This window comes from Homo sapiens, chromosome 6, assembly GCF_000001405.40.
Source record: "Homo sapiens chromosome 6, GRCh38.p14 Primary Assembly".
NCBI lineage: Eukaryota > Metazoa > Chordata > Mammalia > Primates > Hominidae > Homo > Homo sapiens.
Window position 1 is genome coordinate 151,196,438 of NC_000006.12, and position 23,331 is coordinate 151,219,768.

The following is a 23,331-nucleotide window of genomic DNA, read 5'->3' on the forward strand; positions in this document are numbered from 1 at the left end:
GCCTGTAGTCCCAACTACTGGGGAAACTAAGGAAGGAGGATCCCTTGCACCCGGAAGTTCCAGCTGCAGTAAACTGTGATACTGCCACCGTACTCCAGCCTGGGTAACAGAGCAAGACCCCATCTCTAAAACAAACAAACAAAAAAGCTTTTAAAAAAAGAATACAGTTTAATGTTGAATCAGTTAGGACTCTTTGTTACTGTTATGGGGGAAAAGAATCTGAACTTGAACTAACTTGGGCCAAAAATGAAATTTATTTTCTCCCAGATCCCAGGAAAGGATTGAGCAATACAGCTATAGAAGGGCAGGAATCCAGCTGGCCCACAGAACAGCTGGGACCAGGGGTTTCAACATCTTCAGGAGCTTCTTCCATCTCCAGATCTTGCCGTTGGCCTCATTCCTATTCACCACAATGAGATTTGTCTACAGGAAGAAAACAGGGCTCCCCAATGCACAGTTTCCAACTTCTGCCCCCAAAGAGGGAATCCCTATGTTCCTTCTTCTCAAACAAGGGTGCTCTTCAGCCTGCGTGCACTGCTGCACCCATATCAATTGTTTTTCAGCCAATGTCTGTCCTAATTGGTGGGTACCCGGATCTCCCTGATTGTTGCAGATATTGATAATCACCCCTGGAATCAGGTTCAAATATCCCAGAGAAGAGGATCATTGGTACTGTTTTTCTCTAATCAGCCCTAGGCAGGGCCAGGCCATGTCAGAGCACAGCTGCTCCCACAGGAATCATCAGGTTAAAGGAACAGAAAGAGCGATTCCCAAATGAGGGTTGGTACTGGGCAGATCAAAAAAAGACATGCTGGCTGGTCACAGTGGCTCACAGCTGCCCTCTCAGCATTTTGGGAGGCTGAGATGGGAGGATCACCTGAAGCCAGGAGCTCGAGACCAGCTGGCAACAAAGTGAGGCCTCCATCCCTACAAAAAAAAAAAAAAAAAAAAAAAATATATATATATATATATATATATATATGTATATATATATATATATATATGTATATATATATATATATATATATATATATATATATATGCACACACACACATATTGTCTGGGCACAGTGGTACATACCTATAGTGCCAGCTACTTGGGAGGCTGAGATGAGAGATTGTTTGAGCCCAGGAGGTCAAGGATGTAGCGGGCCCTGATACTGCCACTGCACTCCAGCTTAGGCCACAGAGTGGGACCCTGAAAAGAGAGAAAGAGAAAAAGAAAGAAAGAAAGGAAGAAAGGAAGGAAGGAAGGAAGGAAGGAAGAGAGAAAGAAAGAAAAGAAAGAAAGAAAGAGAAAAGAAAAGGAAAGAAAGAAGAAAGAAAAGAGAAAGAAAGAAAGAAAGGAAAGAAAAGAAAAAAGAAAAAAGAAAGAAAGGAAGAAAAAGAAAAGAGAGAAAGAAAGGAAGGGAGAGATGGGAGGAAGGGAGGGAGGGAAGGAAGGAAGGAAGGAAGTCTACTATAAGTGTACTTGTAGTTTTTATTTTCCAAAATTTTAAATTTCCAAAATTTAAAAATTACTATAACTTTTAAAAGGAAAAAAATAATTGTAGGTACCAGAAGCCCCATCTTTCTTCGTTTTACTTCTACTCTGTCTTAGAATGCCATCAGCAGCTCTGTCCCATCTACGAATAAACATGGTCACACCGTATTAGAAATTCCCTAAGAAACAGGGGGCTATTGATAGCCAGCTTAGTGTTACCTACCCTGGTTAAGCAAGAAAATAAGTCACTCATTTGATGTTAGAACAGGTTCCTGTTTGATGTATCCAGTTTCCTCTAAAAGTTTCAGCATTTGGGTTAAATTTTATTCAGTGATAGCCACACTTAATCTCCCCAAGGCACTAACCAGAAAAAAATCAGGCCCTGACTTTGCTATCCAGGCCCATCTAGACATCCTAATCTTTTCCCTCAGCATATGTAGAGAATTCAAAAATTAACTTGCATACAAATGCAGAGAATCTATTTCCAGGTTCTGTCTAAAGCCTTTTAGTAAGATCTTCCAAATTCTTACTTTTGAATATCCCCTAGCAGTGAAAGATAACTTGACTGCTGAGATATCATTCACAGAAGAGATGAGAAAAATGATTAATTTCTGAACATGTTCAATTTCATACATTCTTGAGCTCATAATTGAGTGGTTGAGTTCTAGTTCTTCCAGGTACAATCACACCACAGAGACATGATTTTAAAGATGAAGTTTTAGTGAGGGACTAATAAATTTTTCAGGCCAGCTCTCAAGGCTTTCTCAATTTTCTACATACTATTAAAGAGCAATACATGCCCAGTGATTAGAATGCATGCTAGTGCCCCTGGGCATAGAAACATCTGGATAACAAAATGGAATCCACCTTAAGTGTCTAAACAGCAAGCTAACAAAAATGAAAACAGCAAGCAGGTGAACAGAACAATCCCGGGGCAGCAGCCTAATCCAGAGTAATCCATTGCCATGACAGCAAACATCACAGAAACTTCCAGAGGGTGTTCAGGGCACATGTTCCATGAGAAATCCTTGATCCCTTTGTGGTTTGCTTCTTTCCTTAGTGTTTGCAGTGGGACCGTATTCCCAGGTTATGGGCCTTTTCAAAAATGCACCAGAAAAGCTCTCTGCCAGGCCACGTGCATAGCATGGTAGAGAAAACACCCTATTGCAGATTGCTAGTTTAAATGAAGGCTAACCAAATAAAGAATCAAACTAAGATGCAAAAGTTAGAAGTATGCCCAATCCAACCTGCTGGAGAAGTAGGATCATAAATGTTAATAAAGAATTGTAGACTGGGATCGTTTTATAAAAATAAATTTTAAAGGCCGGGTGCGGTGGTTCATGCCTGTAATCTCAGCACTTTGGGAGGCCGAGGTGGGTGGATCCCTTGAAGTCAGGAGTTCGAGACCACCTGGCCAACATGCTGAAACCCCTGCCTCTACTGAAAACACAAAAACTAGCCAGATGTGGTGGTGCATGCCTGTAATTCCAGCTACTCAGAAGCTGAGGCAGGAGAATTGCCTGAACCCGGGAGGTGGAGGTTGCAGTGAGCCGAGATCATGCCACTGCACTCCACCCTGGGTGACAGAGTGAGACTCTGTCTCAAAACACACACACACACACACACACACACACAATTAATTTAAAATTTCATGCATAGGCCCAGACATGATGGCTCATGCCTATAATCCCAGCACTTTTGAGGCCAAGGCAGGAGGATCACTTGAGGCCAGAAGTTTGAGACCAACCTAAACAACACAGCGAGATCCTATATCTCTACAAAAACATTTACAAAAATTAGCTGGTTATGATGGCACGCATCTTTAATCTTAGCCACTCGGGAGGCTGAGGCGGGATGATTGCTTGAGCCCAAGAGTTCGTGGTTGCAGTGAGCTATGATCATGCCACTGCACTCCAGCCTGTGTGACAGAGCAAGACCCTGTCTGAAAAAAAAGTTATGCATAATCAACTAATTCTAGAGTTCGTAACTTTCTTCAATACTGTTTTTTTTTTTTAATATTACAATGGCATCTGTCCAATTCTCCACAGGGAAAAGTGTCATGGTCTTTCATCAGATGAAAGGTGCAGTCTGGATTTCAGTCAACATGATAGAACATTGTACCCCTCCAGATTCACACCCTAAGTGTTTGGGAATTAAAGTCCCCCAATCTTTTTCTTCTTATTAAATCACAAGGGCCGTACTGGCATGGTGATTAGCAATTCTGGCCTGGAAAAAAAAAATTCTAGCACAGCTGCAAGAAAACAGACAAAAAGAACAGCTGGGAAGACCTGGCCTATTTTTGCTTTGCATTTAGTTGGCAAAACAAAACTCCCTTCTGGAGGAATTCCCACTTTATTCCACCACATTTATCATCTCCTTTTTTCTATTTCTTTTTATTCATTTTTTCTTTCCTTAATATTGCTGTCTTTTTCTTCACAGAGTATTTCCTTATTTTTTCATTCATTTAACAAATATCCATTGCATGCCTAGTATAGGTGAGAAACTCTGCCAGGCACTGTAGGATGTAGAAAGATAAGTTAAACATGAGCACTGACATCCAAAACCTTATTATCCTAATAGACGGTGTGACTGGTATGTAAATAAGTCAAATCAAAAGTAAAAGGTGGCCAGGTGCCGTGGCTCACACCTGTAATCCCAGCACTTTGGGAGGCTGAGGCAGGTGGATCACTTGAGGTCAGAAGTTCGAGACCAGCCTGGCCAACATGGTGAAACCCCATCTCTACTAAAAATACAAAAATCAGCCAGGCATGGTGGCAGGTGCCTGTAGTCTCAGCTACTTGGGAGGCTGAAGCACGAGAATCGCTGGAACCCAGAAGGCAGAGGTTGAAGTGAGCTGAGATCACGCCACTGCACTCCAGCCTGGGTAACAGAGCAAGGCTCTGTCTCAATAAAAATTAAAAAAAGTAAAAGGTAGGTGATAAGAGAAAAAATAAATATAAAGTGACATAGAAACTCAGGAGAGCAATTCATTCCAGTTGGAGGGCTTAGTGAAAGCCTGTAGAGGAGGTGTCTGAATAAAGGGCATTCTGGGCAGAAAACAAAACAAACAAACCAAAAAAAGCCCAGCATGAGCAAAGGCAATAATCTCTAAAAAACATGGAGCGATTGAATTTGACTAGAGCATCAGTGCTCAAGGTGTGGTCCTGGACCATCAGGACCAGCATCATTTGATATCTTGTTACACATGTAAATCCTTAAACCCCACCCCAGGTCTACTCAATCAAAGACTCTGTGGTAGGACCCAGCAATTTATGATGTAACAAGCCCTCCAAGAGATTCTGGTGCATATTCAAGTTTGGAAGTCACTGAATCAAGGTATAGGATACCTGGCGTCAGAAATCTGCTTGAAAAGTAAGATTGGAATAAATAAAAGAAAATCAACTTTAAAAGGATAGTTAGGTGCTAGCTTTGACAGCATACACACTAAAGTTAGAATGACACAGAGATTAGCATGCCCTCTGCAAAAGGATGAGATGCAATTTTGTGAAGCATTCTAATATTTTTTTAAAAGGAAGGTGGAAAAAATAGACAAATAGGACTACATAAAACTTAAAAACCTTTGTGTGTCAAAGAACATAATCAATGAAGTAAAAAGGGAACCTATAGAATGGGTTGAAATAGTAGCAAGTCATATCTGAAAAGGGGTTAATGTGCAGAATGTATAAAGAACTCCTAAAACTCAACAAAAAAAATCCCCAGTTTTTAAAAGGGCAAACGACTTGAACAGACATCATAGACATCTCTAAAGATGCTATACAAGGCTGGCTGTGGTGGCTCACACCTGTAATCCCAGTACTTTTGGAGGCCAAATCAGGTGGATCACTTGAGATCAGGAGTTTGAGACCAGCCTGGCCAACATGGTGAAACCCTGCCTCTACTAAAAATACAAAAATTAGCCCGGCATGGTGGCACATGCCTGTGGTCCCAGCTACCTGGGAGGCTGAGGTAGGAGAATCGCTTGAACTCAGGAGGTGGAGGTCGCAGTGGGCTGATATCACACCATTGCACTCCAGCCTAGGTGACAGAGTGAGACCGTGTCTCAAAAAAAACACACAAAAATGATACACAAATAGCCAACAAACATATGGAAAGATGCTCAATGTCACTAGTCACCAGGGAAATGCAAATCAAAACCTCAATGAGATATCACCTCACACTCATTAGGACAAGTACAATTAAAAACAAATTAAAAACCCAGAAAATAACAAGGCCAAGATGTGGAGAAATCAGCATCCTTGCACACTGTTGGTGGGATTATAAAATGTTGCAACCTCTATGGAAAACAGTAGGCAGCTTCTCAAAAAATTAAAAATAGCACTATTATGATTCAGCAATTCCACTTCTGGGTATACATCCAAAAGAATTGAAAGAGGAGTCTCAAAAAGATATTTGCATACCCATGTTCACAGCAGCATTTATTCATGGTACCCAAGAGGTGAAAGCAATCCAAGCGTCTACCAAAGGATGACTGGAGAAACAAAATGTGGTCTATGCATACAATGGAATATTATTCAGCCTTAGAAAGGAAGACAATCCAGCTGGGCACGGTAGGTAGCTCACACTGGTAATCCCAGCACTTTGAGAGGCCAAGGTGGGCGGATCACCTGAGGTCGGGAGTTCAAGACCAGCCTGACCAACATGGAAAAACCCCATCTCTACTAAAAATACAAAATTAGCTGGGCGTGGTGGCACACGCCTGTAATCCCAGCTAACTCGGGAGGCTGAGGCAGGAGAATCACTTGAACCCGGGAGGTGGAGGTTGCTGTGAGCCGAGATTGCGCCATCGCAGTCCAGCCTGGGAAAACAATAGCGAAACTTTGTCTCAAAACAAAAACAAAAACAAAAACAAAGCAAAACAAAAAAAAAGGAAGAAAATCCTGTTACATGCTGCAACATGATGAACTTTGAGAATATTACGGTAAGTGAAATAAGCAAATCGCAAAAAGATGAATACTGTATGATTCCACTAATATGAAGTAGTCATCAAATTTATAGAAACAAAAAGTAGAATGGTGGGTACCAAAGGATGAGGAGGAGGAAAGGGGAAGTTATTATTGAATGGGTATAAAGTTTTGAATTTGCAAGATGAAAAAGACTGGGAGATCTGTTTCACAACAATGTGAATACACTTAACAATATTAAACTGCACACTTAAAAATGGCTAAGATGGTATAATTTATGCTATGTGATTTTTTAGCATCAGTGTTTTTTTTTAACAGGAAGGTGGGATAATTGAGGGCTTGAAATTCTAACACCTTTTCCTTCCATTGGTCAATCCTTCCATTGGTCTATTAATCCTTTCTTTTCTTACATTTGATCTTGAGCTCTTATGTGTTGGAAGTATTTTTTTTTTATTTTTGCTTTTGTTTTTACTATTACTTCAATCTCTTTGTGATAGGTCTCTTCAGATTTCCATTTCTTCTTGGATCAGTTTACATAGTTTGTGTCTCTTTAGAAATTTGTCTATTTCATATCTGCTGTCTGATTTGTTTGCATACAATTGTTCAAAATATCCCCTCATAATTTTTTTTTATTTCTGTAGAGTCGGAAGTAATCAAGTCTTCTTTTTTTCTTGGTTAGTTTAGCTAATATTTTGTCAATTTTGTTGGTCTTTCCAAAGATTAACATTTTGTTTTGTTGATTTTCTCTCTTGTTTTTCTATTCTGTATTTCACTTATTTCCATTAGAGTCTTTATTCTATCCTTCCTTCTACTTGTTTTTGGGTTTAGTTTTCCCTTCCTTTTCCAGTGTCTTAAGGTGAAAGTTTAGATTATTGATTTTAGCTCTTTCTTCTTCATTAATATTGGCATTTACAGCTATAAATTTCCCTCTAAGCAGCAGGTTAGCTGCATCCCGTAAGTTTGGGTATACTGTGTTTTTATTTTCACTCATCTCAAACTATTTTCTAATTTCTCTAATTACTGAGATTCAGCCATTTTTCTTGAATGCATACTTCCTGAATTCCTGCCAGAATTTGATTAATTTCTAGAGCCCTAAAAAAGTTGATTCTTCCCTTTTTTGCCAGTTTTCTCATTATTTTCATAGAGGAGAAATTTTTCAGAGGTCCTTTCTCTGACATTTTTGCTGACATCTTCCTTCCTTCCTTTCTCTCTTTCTCTCTTTCTTTTTCTGAGACAGAATCTCACTCTGTCACCCAGGTTGGAGTGCAGTGGCATGATCTCAGCTCACTGCAACCTCTGCCTCCCAGGTTCAAGCGATTCTCCTGCCTCAGCCTCCGGAGTAGCTGGGATTACAGGCACCTGGCACCACGCCCGGCTAATTTTTATATTTTTAGTAGAGACAGGGTTTCATCATGTTGGCCAGGCTGGTCTCAAACTCCTGACCTCAAGTGAGGAGTTCATTTGGCCTCCCGCCTTGGCCTCCCAAAGTGCAGGGATTACAGGTGTGAGCCACTGCGCCCTGCCAGACATCATTTTTTCTTGCATTTCAAACCTTGGTGGGAGCTTTCCTCCCTCAGCTCAGTGGTATCCTCATGGCCTGGGACAAGGCCTCTGGCCTCTTTTCTCTGAACATCACTGTCCTAGTCTGCTGGGACTGCTGTAACAAAATATTATAGACTGGGTGGCTCATACAACAGACATTTAGTTCTCACAGTTCTGGCAGCTGGGAAGTTGCCCTCACTGAGGAACTAAATAGGCAGGCACCCTGATCTTGGACTTCTTACATCATTAATTCAAATGCAAAGGGATTTACTCTGAGGGAAACTGATGAAAGTTTTTCTTGGCTTTATGCTGGGGGCGGTACTAGGAGACGTCACCCTGTGAGGTCACTCTCAGTTCCTCCCTCCTCCTTTCTCTTACCTTTCACCCAGTCCCTGAGATAAGGCAGGTTTGGAGCCCACCAAGATGATTTGATCATTCCTTGGGCTTAGTCTGAAGCGATTCAAGACCATGGTTCCTGCTGATCGAGTGGCAAGAGCATTGGCTTTAGAGTCCAATGTAAATTGGCCTAAACTCAGCTGTGCCACCCACTGCATAGGTCCCTGGTAAGTCCCTTACCATCCTTGAGCCTCAGTTTACTTTTCCGTAAAATGGGGGTAATACTATTCACTTTAGGGAGTTCCTAAAAAGATTAAATTAAGTAATGTATGCATTTGAAGTGCCCAAGAGACTGCCAAACTTCTAGATAGGGCTTGATCATAATTATGCCTCAGTATTATGCAGTAAGGGTGACTTACATAGCCTTGTCAATAATCTTTTCCTTTATTAAATAAATAGTTCTCTCTGAAAGTTATTTCTTATATTTAATCTCAATTCCAGATTGTATTTATTTATTTTTTATTTTATTTATTTATTTTTTTTCTGAGATGGAGTCTTGCTCTGTCAACCAGGCTGGAGTGCAGTAGCATGATCTTGGCTCACTGCAATCTCCGCCTCTTGGGTTCAAGTGATTCTCCTGCCTCAGCCTCCCAAGAAGCTGGGATTACAGGCGCCCGCCACCATGCCTGGCTAATTTTTTTTGTATTTTTAGTTGAGACGAGGTTTCATTGGCCAGGCTGGTATCAAACGCCTGACCTCAGGTGATCCGCCCACCTCGGCCTCCCAAAGTGCTGGGATTACAGGTGTGAGCCACTGCACCCCAGATTGTATTTAACGCCTTTCCTTCAGTCTTAGCTAGAAAAATAGAAAAGAAAAAGGAAAAGAAATGGCTGCTAACACTGCCTCCAGAACCCTTCCCAGCCTGCATTAAAGCTGTCCCTTGGTCGCCTTATCATTAATCTAGATGTCTTTGCTCAGCCTCTCTGCTCTCCGTCTCTTTACTCCTCCTTTGATAATCCTTTACCCACTTTCATGTTGCTCTTTCTTGCATCTCTTCCTATGTGTATTAACTGATGTATTCTGCAGGTCAGTGGACTGCAAAGGTCAAAGTCTGTGTGTCTGAGACTTGGATTCAGCTGTCAGCCCCCAGCCTCTTAGACAATTCAAGACAGGGTTAAAGTTGCAATCAGAGACAATGAGGCTGCAAGAGAAACAAAGGCTGGATTTGATGGGCAACTGGGACAGCTGGAGATGACAAAATCTCTTTAGACTGATTTTTCCTGAGGTCAAAAGACTTGGGAGGGTGGGGTAGAGCAAGGAGTGTTCAAGAATAACTGTAAACATGAGCCTTGCACACATATAAAACACGGGTCAGAAAATGCTAGGCCTATTTCATTAATTTTCACAAAAGATTCCCTCAGACTTTTCAGTCTCTTTTTTAAGTAATCGATGCATGCCCTAAATCCCATTCATTCATTCTTCTTTTATTTGTTTATTTTTCATTATCTGCCCTACCCGATTTATTATGCACTTAATTGTCATATTCCCTTTTGTTACTGGTTTCTTTGCCACTTTTCTGACTGGTCACTCTTGTCCTCATTACAGATCTTTCAAGGCCATTTATTTGATATAATGAAAAGAATGAAGTTTGGAATCTGATGGTTCAGCCACTAGGAGTTGCACAACCTTCAACAAGTGACAATAGGCCTGTTTCACAATGACCTCCCAGAACTGTTAGAGCTCTAAAGCACAACCAACCTTTACTTAGCAAAGCCTGCTCTTGGAGTTGGTGTTATGGTTTGAGTTCTGCCCTCCCCAAATTTATATTCCTAAAATTTCTAACCCCCAATGTGGAATGTGATGGCATTTGGAGATGGGCGTTTGTGAGGTGTTAATAATTAGGTTTAGATGCAGACGTGAAGGTGGGGCGCTCATGATGGGATTAGTGCCCTTATAAGAAGAGACACAAGACAGCTTGGTCTCTCTCTCCCTCTCTTCCTCTCCACGTGAGGAAACAAAGGGACGGGGCCATCTGCAAGCCAAAAGAGAACCTTCACCAGGAACCATATAGGCCAGCACCTTGGTCTTAGACTTCCCAGCCCCTAGAATTATGAGAAATAAATGACTGTAGTTTAAGCCACCCAGCCTGTGGTATTTTTTCATGGCAGCGCCAGCTGACTAAGAAAATGGATTTTCAGGAATAAAGATGAGCTTGATTTTCCTCATGACCAATGGCTGGCATTTGTGAGTAAGAGAACTTACACTCTATGTCTGTGGTGAAAATAGAGGTAGGTAGCACTGGGTGTGGTGGCTTACACCTCTAATTCCAGCTATTCTGGAGGCTGAATTCGGAGGATCGCTTGAGCCCAGGAGTTTGAGTCCAGCCTGGGCAACATAGCGAGACCTTGTTTCAAAAGAAGAAAAATAGAAGTAGATAAGTTTCACTGTCCCAGGATCTACCATCAAACCTCTAGACAATGTAGGGTCTTACCCTGATTTCATTCACATCAGAATCATCGGGGGAGTTGTTTTTTGTTTTTTGGCTTTTTTTTTTTTTTTTTGGAGTTTCACTCTTGTGGCCCAGGCTGGAGGGCAGTGGTGCGATCTCAGCTCATTGCAACCTCTGCCTCCCAGGTTCAAGTGATTCTCCTGCCTCAGCCGCCCAAGTAGCTGGGATTACAGGTGCCTGCCACCACGCCTGGCTAATTTTTTGTATTTTTTTTAGTAGAGGTGGGGTTTTGCCATGTTGGGCAGGCTGGTCTTGAACTCCTGACCTCAGATGATCTGCTCGCCTTGGTCTCTCAAAGTGTTGGGATTACAGGCGTGAGCCACCATGCCCTGATTTTTGGCTTTCATCATAGTACCTCACATCCAGAGCGTCTATGATTTCGGCCTGTGGTCTCTCCATGAAGGGGTCAGGAGTGAGAAGGGGGCCCTGAAATTGATTGACTGCATGCACTCTGCCAGGCACTGTCTGTGTCAGGCATTCTTCACACACATCATTCTGTCTGTTCATTCTCACAGTAATCCCATCAAGAAGATGTTAACAGCCCCATTTTAGAAAGGAAGAACCAGGTTTCAGCAGTCCTGCCCAAGCTTCCACAGTCATAAGGTAGAGCTAGGATTAGAACAGTAACAAAATAAATTAGCATACTCTTGAAGGAAAAGAAAAAAAATGGCAACAGCTAATGTTTCTCTCCTGGGCTTAATGCCTTGCATCTTTTATCTCATGGAATCCTTTCAACAATCTTTTGTACATTGGCTTTTTTTTTTTTTTTTGAGATGGAGCCTCGCTCTGTCACCCAGGCTGGAGTGCAGTGGTGTGATCTCGGCTCCCTGCAACCTCCACCTCCCAGGTTCAAGCAATCCTCCTGCCTCAGCCTTTCAAGTAGCTGGAACCACAGACGCCTGCCACCATGCCTGGCTAATTTTTTTGTATTTTTAGTAGAGACGGGGTTTTGTCATATTGGCCAGGCTGGTCTCGAACTCCTGAACTCCTGACCCATCTGCCTCAGACTTCCAAAGTGCTGGGATTACAGGCATGAGCCACCGCGCCCGGCCTAGATTGTCTTTTATATCCCCACTTCACACATGATAAAACAGAAATGAAAGTGTAGAGACATTAAGCAATCCATCCAAGGTCACACAGCAGTAGAGTCGGATCTGTCTGGCAGTAAAGGCTGTGATCTTGGCCACAGTATGACACACTCTCATCCTTCCCTTCACAAAGTCCACACCCATTGTATATGTGCCACCCCTGTGACTCAGGTGCTCCTGTCACTTGCAATTTCTCTCTTTACGTTTCAATTAATCTTTTTTTGTTTGTTTTTTGTTTTGAGACAAAGTCTTGCTCTGTCACCCAGACTGGAGTGCAGTGGCGTGATCCCGGCTCACTGCAACCTCCGCCTCTGGGTTCAAGTCATTCTCCTGCCTCAGCCTTCCCAGTAGCTGGGACTATAGACGCATGTCACCATGCCCCGCTAATTTTTGTATTTTTTGTAGAGACAGGGTTTTGCCATGTTGTCTAGGCTGGTCTCAAACTCCTGACCTCAAGTGATCCACCCACCTGGGCCTCCCAAAGTGCTGGGATTACAGGCATGGGCCACCATGCCCAGCCCTTTCAACTAATTTTATGAGACATACCCAACCTGACAAGGAAGATCCAGGCAAGCCTCACTGATGCGCATTGCTCATCTCTAACACAACCCAGCCAAAGTCACTGATGGAGAGAGAATCTCTTCCATAAATTAGAGCACAAAGTTGTTGAATCATAGTTAATTTATCCAAGAATAAACATTTCTGTTGGTTTCTGAACATTTGATTTAGAAATTACACAGACTTAAAGGAAGCATTTATAGTCACTGCAATGACACAGTGAATGTCAGATGCAGGTCCTAGTTATTAAGCACATTTGAAAGAAAGAAAGCTTTATCCAGTTTGAATTCAAGAGGCTTTACAAAAAAATGCATAGCTAAGATAATCAGTAAAAAGAGGAGTTAGGATTTTTGAATACAAGGCAAGCCAGTTTCAACCTCATTTTATCCTCTGCCTGTCCTCCCATTCATCTTGATAATGCTTTGCCAAGTCACTGCAAGCTTTTGCTTGAATTAACTAGCCATATTTTATTATGTCCAGAACACACACTAACAGAGACTGCAGAACAAAGGGTAAAAATCAAGGATAAAGGGAGGAAGGACAGCTCTGTATTACAGGTAGAAGAGTCTCTTCACTTCTACTGCAGATTGAGTCGGGAGAAACTGTGACTAAGAATAGCTACACGGCCGGGATTGGTCATACGAGCCCACAGGCACTAGCAGCTGAGGTGGCTGCTGTCTGTTTAAATTGCTTTCCGGTGGCAAACACTTAATTGTAATCGAGACAGAGTTCAGGTTTATTTTCTGCTCGTTCCCTGCATCCTGCTCTTGTTCTCGATAAGCTTTTCCCCTGCCCTGGCGCCCACTGCACCCTCCATTTCCCAAGGAGCCCAGCTAGCCCCGACAATGTGATTAAGTGTTCTCTGTAGACGTGAGTCCTTGCTTCTGCTGGGTGCCTCTCTGTGTCAGCAGCAAATCAGCCTGCAGACCAGGGGTAGTGTTTCTGGAGGATCAGGTGAGAATGCCTGGACTCTGCACAGTTGGAAGCTGTTCATGAGATAATGGTACCTCTTGTTTTCATGTGCAGCTTTATATCAACAGTCCCTCGGTTTCTCCCATTGGAAATCAGCTACAGATATGAGCCGTGTAAGAATATAAGTACTGTAGGCTGGGTGAGGTGGCTCACACCTGTAATCCTAGCACTTTGGGAGGCCAAGGCAGGCAGATCACTTGAGGTCAGGAGTTCGAGACCAGCTTGGCCAACATGATGAAAACCCATCTCTACTAAAAATACAAAAATTAGCTGGGCATGGTGGTGTACACCTGTAGTCCCAGCTACCTGGGAGGCTGAGGTAGGAGAATCACGTGAGCCGGGGAGGCAGAGGTTGCAGTGATCCAAGATCACGCCACTGCACTGCAGCCTGGGAGACAGAGGGAGACTCTGTCTCAAAAAAAAAAAAAAAAAAAAAAAAAAAGAATGTAAGTATTGGATGTCCTGGCCAGAGCAATAAGGCAAGAGAAATAAATAAAAGGCGTCCAAATTAGAAAAGAGAAAGTCAAATTGTCCCTCTTTACTGCTAATATGATCTTATATCTAGAAAAACGCAGACTCCACCAAAAAACTCTTAAATCTAATAAATAAATTAAGTAACATTGTAGGATACAAAATTGATGTACAAAATCGGTAGCATTTCTATACACCAATAATGAACTAGCTGAGAAAAAAATCAAGAAAGCAATCCTATTTATAGTAGCTATAAAAAAAGAATAAAACACTCAGGAATATACATTCAACAAAGGAGGTGAAAGAGCTCTACAAAGAGAACTACAAAACACTGATGACAGAAACTGAAGTGGACACATACAAATGGACTGACATCCCATGCTCATAAGCTGGAAGAAATAATATCATTAAAATTATCATATTGGCCAGGCGTGGTGGCTCACGCACGCCTGTAATCCCAGCACTTTGGGAGGCCGAGGCAGGTGGATCACTTGAGGTCAGGAGTTTAAGACCAGCCTAGACAAACACAGTGAAACCCCATCTCTACTAAAAATACAAAAATTAGCTAAGCATAGTGGCAGGCGCCTGTAATCCCAGCTACTTGGGAGGCTGAGGCATGAGAATCACTTGAACCCAAGAGCTGGAGGCTGCAGTGAGCTGAGATAGCACCACTGTACCCCAGCCTGGGAAAAAGTGAGACCGTCAAAAAAAAAAAAAAAAAAAAAGACCACATTGCCCATAGCAATCTACAGATTCAATGCAATCCCTATCAAAATACCAATATCATTTTTCACAGAATTAGAAAAAAAAATCATAAAATTCTTATGGAACCAAAAAAGAGCCTGAATAGCCAATGCAATTCTGAGAAAAAAGAACAAAGCTGGAGGTATCACACTACCTGACTTCAAAATATGTTACAAAGCTATAGTAAACAAAACAGCATGGTATTAGTATAAAAGACACATACATTGATGGAACAGAATACAGAATACAGAAATAAATACATGTATTTATAGCCAACTGATTTTCAATAAAAGTGCCAAGAAGATACACTGAGGGAAGGACACTCTCTTCAATAAACGGTGCTGAGGAATGAAAGTGGACCCTATCTCTCACCATATACAAAAATCAACTCAAGATGGATTGGAGACTTAAATATAAGACCCAGAACTAATAGAAGAAAACACAGGGAAAATACTTCAGGACATTAGTCTAGGCAGATTTTATGGCTAAGATCTCAAAACAACAAAAAACTAAAACAAAAATAGACAAATAGAACTATATTAAATGAAAAAGCTTCTGCACAGCAAAGGGAACAATAGAGTGAAGAGACAACCTGTCGAATGGGAGAAATTATTTGCAAACATTCACCCTGCAAGGGATTAATATCCTGAATACACAAGGAACTCAAATGAGTCAACAATAAAATGTTTAAAATGAGCGCGGTGGCTCATGCCTGTAATCCCAGCACTTTGGGAGGCCAAGGCAGGCAGATCATGAGGTCATGAGTTCGAGACCAGCCTGGCCAATGTGGCGAAACCCTGTCTCTACTAAAAATACAAAAATTAGCCAGGTGTGGTGGCGGGCGCCTGTAATCCCAGCTACTTGGGAGGCTGAGGCAGGAGAATCACTAGAACCCAGGAGGCGGAGGTTGTAGTGAGCTGAGATTGTGCGATTGCACTCCAGCCTGGGCAACAAGAGCAAGACTCCATCTAAAAAAAAAAAAAAAAAGTCCCATTAAAAAGTGGGCAAATGGCCAGGCGTGAGGGCTCATGCCTGTAATCCTAGCACTTTGGGAGGCTGAGGTGAGTGGATTGCTTGAGTCTAGAAGTTCAAGACCAGCCTGGGCAACATGGTGAAACCCTGTGTCTACTAAAAATACAAAAAATTAGCTGGGCATGGTGGCACATGCCTGTAGTCCCAGCTACTCAGAGGGCTGAGGTGGGAGGATCACCTGAGCTCAGGAGATCAAGACTGTAGTGAGCCCTGATAGTACCACTGCACTCCAGCCTGGACAACAGAGTAAGACCTTGTTTAAAAAAAAAAAAAGTGGGCGAATGACAACATATTTCTCAAAAGAGGACATACAAATGGCCAATAGGTACATGAAGAAACTTCTAGACTCAAGCAATCCACTCACCTCAGCCTCCCAAAGTGCTAGGATTACAGGCATAAGCCCTCATGCCTGGCCATTTGCCCACTTTTTAACGGGACCTTTTTTTTTTTTTTTTTTTTTTGAGATGGAGTCTTGCTCTTGTTGCCCAGGCTGGAGTGCAATGGCACAATCTCAGCTCACTGCAACCTCCAACTCCTGGGTTCAAGCGATTCTCTGCCTCAGCCTCCCGAGTAGCTAGGATTACAGGCGCTCATTATCACTAATCATCAGAGAAATGTAAATCAAAGCCACAATGAGATAATCACATTACCCCAGTTAGAATGGCTATTAATGAGACCGCTTTTGCAAAGATTCTGACAGTGAGAGAATCTAGCATGGCTGACTCGACCTTCCTTCTAGCCTCGCAAGCTGGCTGTCTTTGCTGATTCCTGGTCACAGGCCAAGCTAACCATAGGAGGAATTTAGTTTACATTTAACTTGGAAGCAAAGATGATAATAGTCCCTCCTTAAAACTGACACCCTCTTTGCTCAGGGGCCAAAACTCACCTTTGTGAAAGGTGATTAGGATTGACCGGGCGCGGTGGCTCACGCCTGTAATCCCAGCACTTTGGGAGGCAGAGGTGGGCGGATCATGAGGTCAGGAGATCAAGACCATCCTGGCTAACACAGTGAAACCCCGCCTCTACTAAAAATACAAAAAAAAAATTAGCCGGATGAGGTGGCGGGCACCTGTAGTCCCAGCTACTCGGGAGGCTGAGGCAGGAGAATGGCGTGAACCCGGGAGGCGGAGCTTGCAGTGAGCCGAGATTGTGCCACTGCACTCCAGCCTGGGCGACAGAGCGAGACTCCGTTTCAAAAAAAAAAAAAGGTGATTAGGATTAAAGGAGGGGCCTGAATTCCGCTAAAATGTAGACATAGTTTCTACAATTGCTTACTGTGAGAAGCCATGTGGCCAGAGGTCACAAAATTTATGAACTTCCCCAATTGCTTCTATAGGTAACATAATTATCGTAGAACCTAAGATTGGTCTTTTAAGATGTTTTTCGGACTTTGGTGTTCTGGCAACCGACTGACCCAACCTGGACCTGTGACTCATGACTCAACCAGTCCTGTGGCCCCACCCAGAAGCAGACTCAGTACAGGACAATTTTCCACACCCCTCGGACTTCATCCTTAACCAATCAGCAGCACCCATTCCCTAGGTCTTTGCCCACCAAATTATTCATTAAAACTCTAGCCTCTGAGTTCTCAGGGAGATCAATGTGAGTGGTAACTAGTTCTTTCACGTGACTGGCCTTGTGTTAATTAAACTCTTACTTTACTGTAACACCACAGTCTCAGCAATTGGTTTTGTCTGTGCAGCAGACAGGAAGAATCTGTCAGGTAATCACATTATTAAAAAGACCAAAAATAACAGATGCTGGTGAGGATGCTGAGAAAAAGAAACTGTACACAGTTGGTGGGAATGTAAAGTTGTACAACCATTATGGAAAACAGTATACAGATTTCTCCAAAAACAAAAACAAAACCACTATTCAATCCAGCAATCCCATTACTGAATATTTTACCCAAAGGAAAATAAATCGGTATATCAAAGGGATACCTGTACTTGCATGTTTATTGCAGCACTATTCACAATAGCCAAGAGATGGAATCAACCTAAGTATCCATCAGTGGATGAACAAATAAAGGAAATGTGGTACATATACACAATGAAATACTATTGGTTTATGAAGAAGAATAAAATCATATCATTTGTGGCTGGGGTCAGTGGCTCACTCCTATAATCCCAGCACTTTGGGAGGCTGAGGAGGGCAGATCTTTTGAGGTCAGGAGTTCGAGACTAGCCTGCGCAACACGGCGAAACCCTGTCTCTACTAAAAATACAAAAAAATTAGCCAGGCATGGTGGTGCGCGCCTGTAATCCCAGCTACTCGCCCAGCTACTCAGGAGGCTGAGGCAGGGGAACTGCTTGAACCTGGGAGGTGGAGGTTGCAGTGAGTGGCGATCGTGCCACTACACTCCAGCCTGGGCAACAGAGCGAGGCTTTGTCTCAAAAAAAAAAAAAAAAAAAAAAAAAATATATATATATATATATATATATATATATACATACATAAATCATATCATTTGCAGTAACATGGATGGAACTGGATGTCATTATGCTAAGTAATATAAGCCAGGCATAGAAAGACACAAATTGCATGTTCTCACTCATATGTTGGAGCTAAAAAACTTGATCTCGTGGAAGAAGAGAGTAGAACGATAGATACCAGACGCTGGGAAGGGTATGCAGGTGGAAAAGGGTAGATGAAGAGAGGCTGGTTAATGGGTACAAACATACAGTTAGATAAAAGAAGTAAGTTATAATGGTCAATAGCAGATGATGGTAACTATAGTTAGCAACAATTTATTGTATATTTCAAAGTACCTAGAAGAGAGGACTTAAAGTATTACCAACACATAGAAATAATAAATACTCTACAGTATCTACTTCCCAAAAAAAGAAAAAATAAATAATCATCATGGGGTGATGGATACCACAAATACCCTGACTTGATCATTACACATTCTATGTGTGTAACAAATACTCACATGTACCCCATAAGTATGTAAAATACTATAAAAGAAAAAAAGAATATAATTATTGACTTCAAGATCCCATTTTGGGGCCGAGCAATGTGGCTCATGCCTGTAATCCCAGCACTTTGGAGGCCGAGGCAGGAGGATCATTTGAGCCCAGGAGTTTGAGGCCAGACTGGGCAACATAGTGAAATCTCATCTCTACAAATAATTTAAAAATTAGCCAGGTGTGGTGGCACACACCTGTGGTCCCAGCTACTCAGGAGGCTGAGGTGAGAGGATCACTTGAGCCCAGGAGGCCAAGGTTGCAGTGAGCTGGGATGGTGCCAGTGCACTCCAGCCTGGGCAACAGAGAGAGACCCTGTTTCAAAAAAAAAAAAGAAAATCCTATTTGGGTCTTTCTTGCTGTTATTAACTTAAAAACTTAAAAAGTGTGAGTATAGCTTACTCACACTTCCCATTTTACCTAAGCTCCTAAGGAGAGCCTCAGGTTGGAGCATATGCAGGTGAAGAATCTAGGACAAAACACTTTTCTGTAACTTACCCAAGGAAATGCCATATTAATATTAGCTTTGAGTTTCAGTGTAACCTGTCCCTGGCAAACATTTCTTATGGTTTCTGCTGTTACATTGGGTACCCTTCCTTCTTGTCTTTTGAGGTTAGATATGTTCCTCCTGACGAAATTGTTAGTAATTTCTTTTAACGCTCTTTTAACGTTCTTTCTTTTTTTTTTGAGACAGGATCTTGCTCTGTCGCCCAGGCTGGAGTGCAGTGGCACGATCTCAGCTCACTGCAACCTCTGCCTCCCGTGTTCAAGTGATTCTCCTGCCTCAGCCTCCCGAGTAGCTGGGATTACAGGTGTGCACCACCACATCTGGCTAATCTTTTTATTTTTAGCAGAGATGGAGTTTCACCATGTTTTCCCTCCTGGTCTTGAACTCCTGGCCTCAGGTGATCCACCTGCTTCGGCCTCTCACAGTGCTGGAATTACAGGCATGAGCCACTGCCTGGCCTTTTACATTATTTCTTGATGATCAATTGAGTGGACTTGAAAGTCAAATTACCTAATTTGACTTTAAGATACCAGATTGCTAAACCAGTTCTTCCAAAAGCAGAGAGCTCAGGCTGCCCCAGGTGGCCAGCCCTGGGAGAGTGGGGAGCAGCCACAGCTCCCCCTGTAGCCCACCCCCAGCAGGTCTTCCAGGGTGGCTTGTGGCTGGCCTCACCACCAGGAAAGGGATAAGTCTGCAGACCTGTATCCTGGTCAAGACTCAACTGGCTACAAAAGAGCTTCCCAACCAGCTCCCAGAACCCAAGGACGGGAGGCTCAGATGCCTCCCAGAAGGAAAGGAACCCAGGAACTGGACCGGTTTATGAACAAAGGCAGCTGCCCCCTGGGTTTCTCTCTTCCCTCTTCTGAGAAGTCATCTGTTTCTCTCTACTGTGTCTACTTCACTCTTCTTTCTATGCAGACTGGATTCTTTCATTGCTGCTGAAAGTGTGCTGAAAAAAAAAGGAAAATTCCAGGCACAGATGATATCCTTCTAGGCAAGGACTTGGCATCCCTGAATTCAGCTGTGTTCCCTGAAACCAAAGAGTGTAGGGAGAGGAAGAGCTTTGTAGGCAGAACAAATGGCATGCGCAGAGGTATGGAGGTGAGAGAGGTGTGGACAGATTCAAGGGCTTCCACACTGGAGTGAAGAAGGGAGAGGAAGGTAGGTGCAGATCCTGGAGGGCAGGAGTTGGGATTTTACTCTGAATGTAATGGGAGGGAGCGGAGGGGTCTACTGAAGAATTCGGAGTGAGAAATTGACATGACCTGATTTGCATTGTAGGGGGATGACAGGAGAAATTCAGCAGCCTCTCAGGATTAGAGGCAGCCAAGAGGTCCCCAGGGTTTTAAGCAGATACAAACGTCAGGAGCAAGCAGGCACAGAAACAGTCATACATGCTGTTGTGTGAGCAAGACCGGTGAAATCCTAGCTCTCTAGCCTGTTGGAGCAGAGATAGCTCACACAAAAGACCCAACCCATGACAAATATGACAACGCTCTGAGGACAGGTTGTCAGCAAGCCTTCTCTAACAAAAATCCTTCATTAAATGTGACTGAGTGGGGATGGGAATGGAGGGGACACGCTACCGGATTTCTAGAATTTCTATACTAAGGAATCACTCTGAAGGTGTTGGGCTACTGCGTTCATCTGTGCACACATTTGTACAAGAGGGTAAGTGCTTATGTAGCTTTCTAGCAGGCACTGTCTTTATCACTTCGTTTGCCAATTGAAAATGATCTTTGCACTCCAGCCTGGGTGACAGAACGAGACCCCATCTCTTAAAAAATGGGGTCAGCGGTGGCAGTTCATGCCTGTAATCCTAGCAATTTGAGAGGCTGAGGCAGGGGAGGATCACTTGAAGCCAGGAGTTGAAGGCTAGCCTGGCAACAAAGTGAGGCCCTATTTCTTCAGTCAATCAAATAAAAAGAAAATGATCTTTGGCAGCTGAACCCAACCTCTCTACCCCACTGCAAGGCCCCATTGCAGTGGTCCCTATACAAAAAATATTTACATATATATATATATGTAAAAGAAAATGTTCTTTAACACCCTTCTGCTGATCAGTGAATCCTCTAGTACAGATTTTTTTTTTGAGATAGAGTCTTGTTCTGTCCCCCAGGCTGGACTGTAGTGGCACGATCTTAACTCACTGCAACCTCCACCTCCTGGGTTCAAGCAATTCTCCTGTCTCAGCCTCCCAAGTAGCTGGGACTACAGGCGCACGCCACCACGCCCAGCTAATTTTTGTATTTTTAGTAGAGACAAGGTTTCACCATATTGGTCAGACTGGTCTCGAACTCCTGACCTCAGGTGATCCACCCGCCTCAGCCTCCCAAAGTGCTGGAATTACAGGTGCAAGCCACTGTGCCCAGCCCCTCTAGTACAGATTAAATGAGGTATCTGAAGTACCTTCTGTGGGTGGAGTTTTGATTAGGGCCTGGGCTTGTTGTTGTTGTTGTTGTTTTTGAGACAGTCTCTCTCTGTCACCCAGGCTGGAGTGCAATGGCGCGATCTCAGCTCACTGCAGCCTCTGCCTCACGGGTTCAAGTGATTCTCGAGCCTCATCTCCTGAGTAGCTGGGACTACAGGTGCACTCCACCACACCCGGCTAATTTTTGCATTTTTAGTAGAAACAAGGTTTTGCCATGTTGCCCAGGCTGATTTTAAACTCCTGAACTCAAGTGACCCGTCCACCTCAACCTCCCAAAGTGCTGGGATTACAGGTGTGAGCCGCCGCACCTAGCCTTCACTCTTTTTTTTATTGTGGTAAATATGCTAATAAAATTTATCATTTTAATCCTTTTAAGTGTGCAATTCAGCCGTATTAAGTACATGAATATTATTGTGTAATCATCATCACTACCATCCATCTTCAGAACTTTTTCATCTTTCCAAACTAAATCTCTGTACCTATAAAACACAAATGCCCCATTATCCCCTCCTCCCAAACCCTGGGAAACACCAGTCTACTTCCTGTCTCTATGAATTTGACTATTCTAAATACCTCATATAAGTAGAATCATACAATATTTGTCCTCTTGTGTCTGGCTTATTTCACTTAGCATGCTTTCAAGCTTCATCTAGGTTGTAACCTGTATCAGAATTGTATTCTTTGTAAAGGTTGAAAAATATCAGGATCAGGGTCTTGGAAATGTTAACTAACAGCTCCTAGAATGTAGATTAAAGTTAACCTGCACAAACATACATATGTCACACTGGACATCTGTGCTGTAATGTAAATTAGGACAATATAATAAGGGGGAGATTGTAAGGGCCTAATGATAACAGTCTGCCGCGGTGACAATGGTGGGAGAGAAACAAGTACCAAAAGCTCTCAGGAGACAGAATGAATCAGGTTTCATTACTGGATGAGGGAGATGTGGAGTTTGGCATGACTTGAAGTTTTCTGGCTTGATGAACTAGCATGATATGAAATACAAGAGAAAAAATAGGTTTATAGGAAAAGGAGGTGAATGCACTTTGATGTTCTTGTTGATGTGCGCTGAGGCAACTGGATAGTGTGTTCTGGATCACAGAAAAGAGACTGGGCTAAGGTACACTTTCGGGCATTCTCAGCAAGTAAGTGGCTACTGGAAGATTCCAGATTTTGCCACTTTGGCAAATAAAGGTTATTTCGAACTGAAGGCATTTGAGAATAGATTTTTTTCCAAACTCCTTTACCTGCCTAAAAGCAAAGCTTCCCAAAAGAGGTCATAAATTCCCTGTCCTGGAGCAGAGAAGGGATGTCAGCACCACACCCAGACAGACGTTGTTGCAAAATGATCACATCTTACATCTAGTCTTCTAAGGGCAGTTTATCTTTCCTAAGAGTCATAGATTTTTCTACAAGTATCCCTAAACCTCCTCCCTCCTTCTATTAAGGGAATACACAAGCCCGCAATTCTAATAGCCTCCTTGAGTCACATTTTTCTGGGCATTCCCATACATATGTGAATAAAAATCTGTCTTTTCTCTTGCAGATCTGTCTTTTGTCTGTTTAACTCACAGACCTCAATAAAGGTAAGATAAATAAATAAAGGGCAAAATAAATTTTTTTCCTCCCAAACACTGCTAAAGTTGTAAAAGGGGCTGAGTTCACTTAAGAAGGAGATAGATGGGCAGGCGCGGTGGCTCACGCCTGTAATCCCAACAATTTGGGAGGCCGAGGTGGGCAGATCATTTGAGGTCAGGAGTTCG

The 23,331-nt window shown here is 42.8% G+C and overlaps 1 long non-coding RNA gene and 1 pseudogene across 1 annotated transcript in view, besides 1 other annotated feature; one reads left to right on the forward strand and one right to left on the reverse strand.

Moving 5' to 3' along the window:
• Positions 1-235: 235 nt before the first annotated feature.
• LOC102723831 (uncharacterized) overlaps positions 236-23,331 on the reverse strand; it is a 31,785-nt gene continuing 8,689 nt past the window's right edge. Inside the window, exons 2-3 of the long non-coding RNA NR_125868.1 lie at positions 1,082-1,198; positions 236-927 (exon numbers count right to left, since the gene is read on the reverse strand). This is a non-coding gene — a long non-coding RNA (uncharacterized LOC102723831). The remainder of the gene's footprint in view (positions 928-1,081; positions 1,199-23,331) is intronic.
• RNU6-300P (RNA, U6 small nuclear 300, pseudogene) lies at positions 4,904-5,007 on the forward strand (annotated as a pseudogene).
• Positions 11,639-12,138: an enhancer, noted in NCBI's record as "H3K4me1 hESC enhancer chr6:151529211-151529710 (GRCh37/hg19 assembly coordinates)". NCBI's record gives its function as "activates a minimal SCP1, AML or CMV promoter by ChIP-STARR-seq in naive H9 embryonic stem cells {active_cell/tissue: H9 hESC(naive)}" and the evidence as "EXISTENCE:reporter gene assay evidence [ECO:0000049][PMID:30033119]".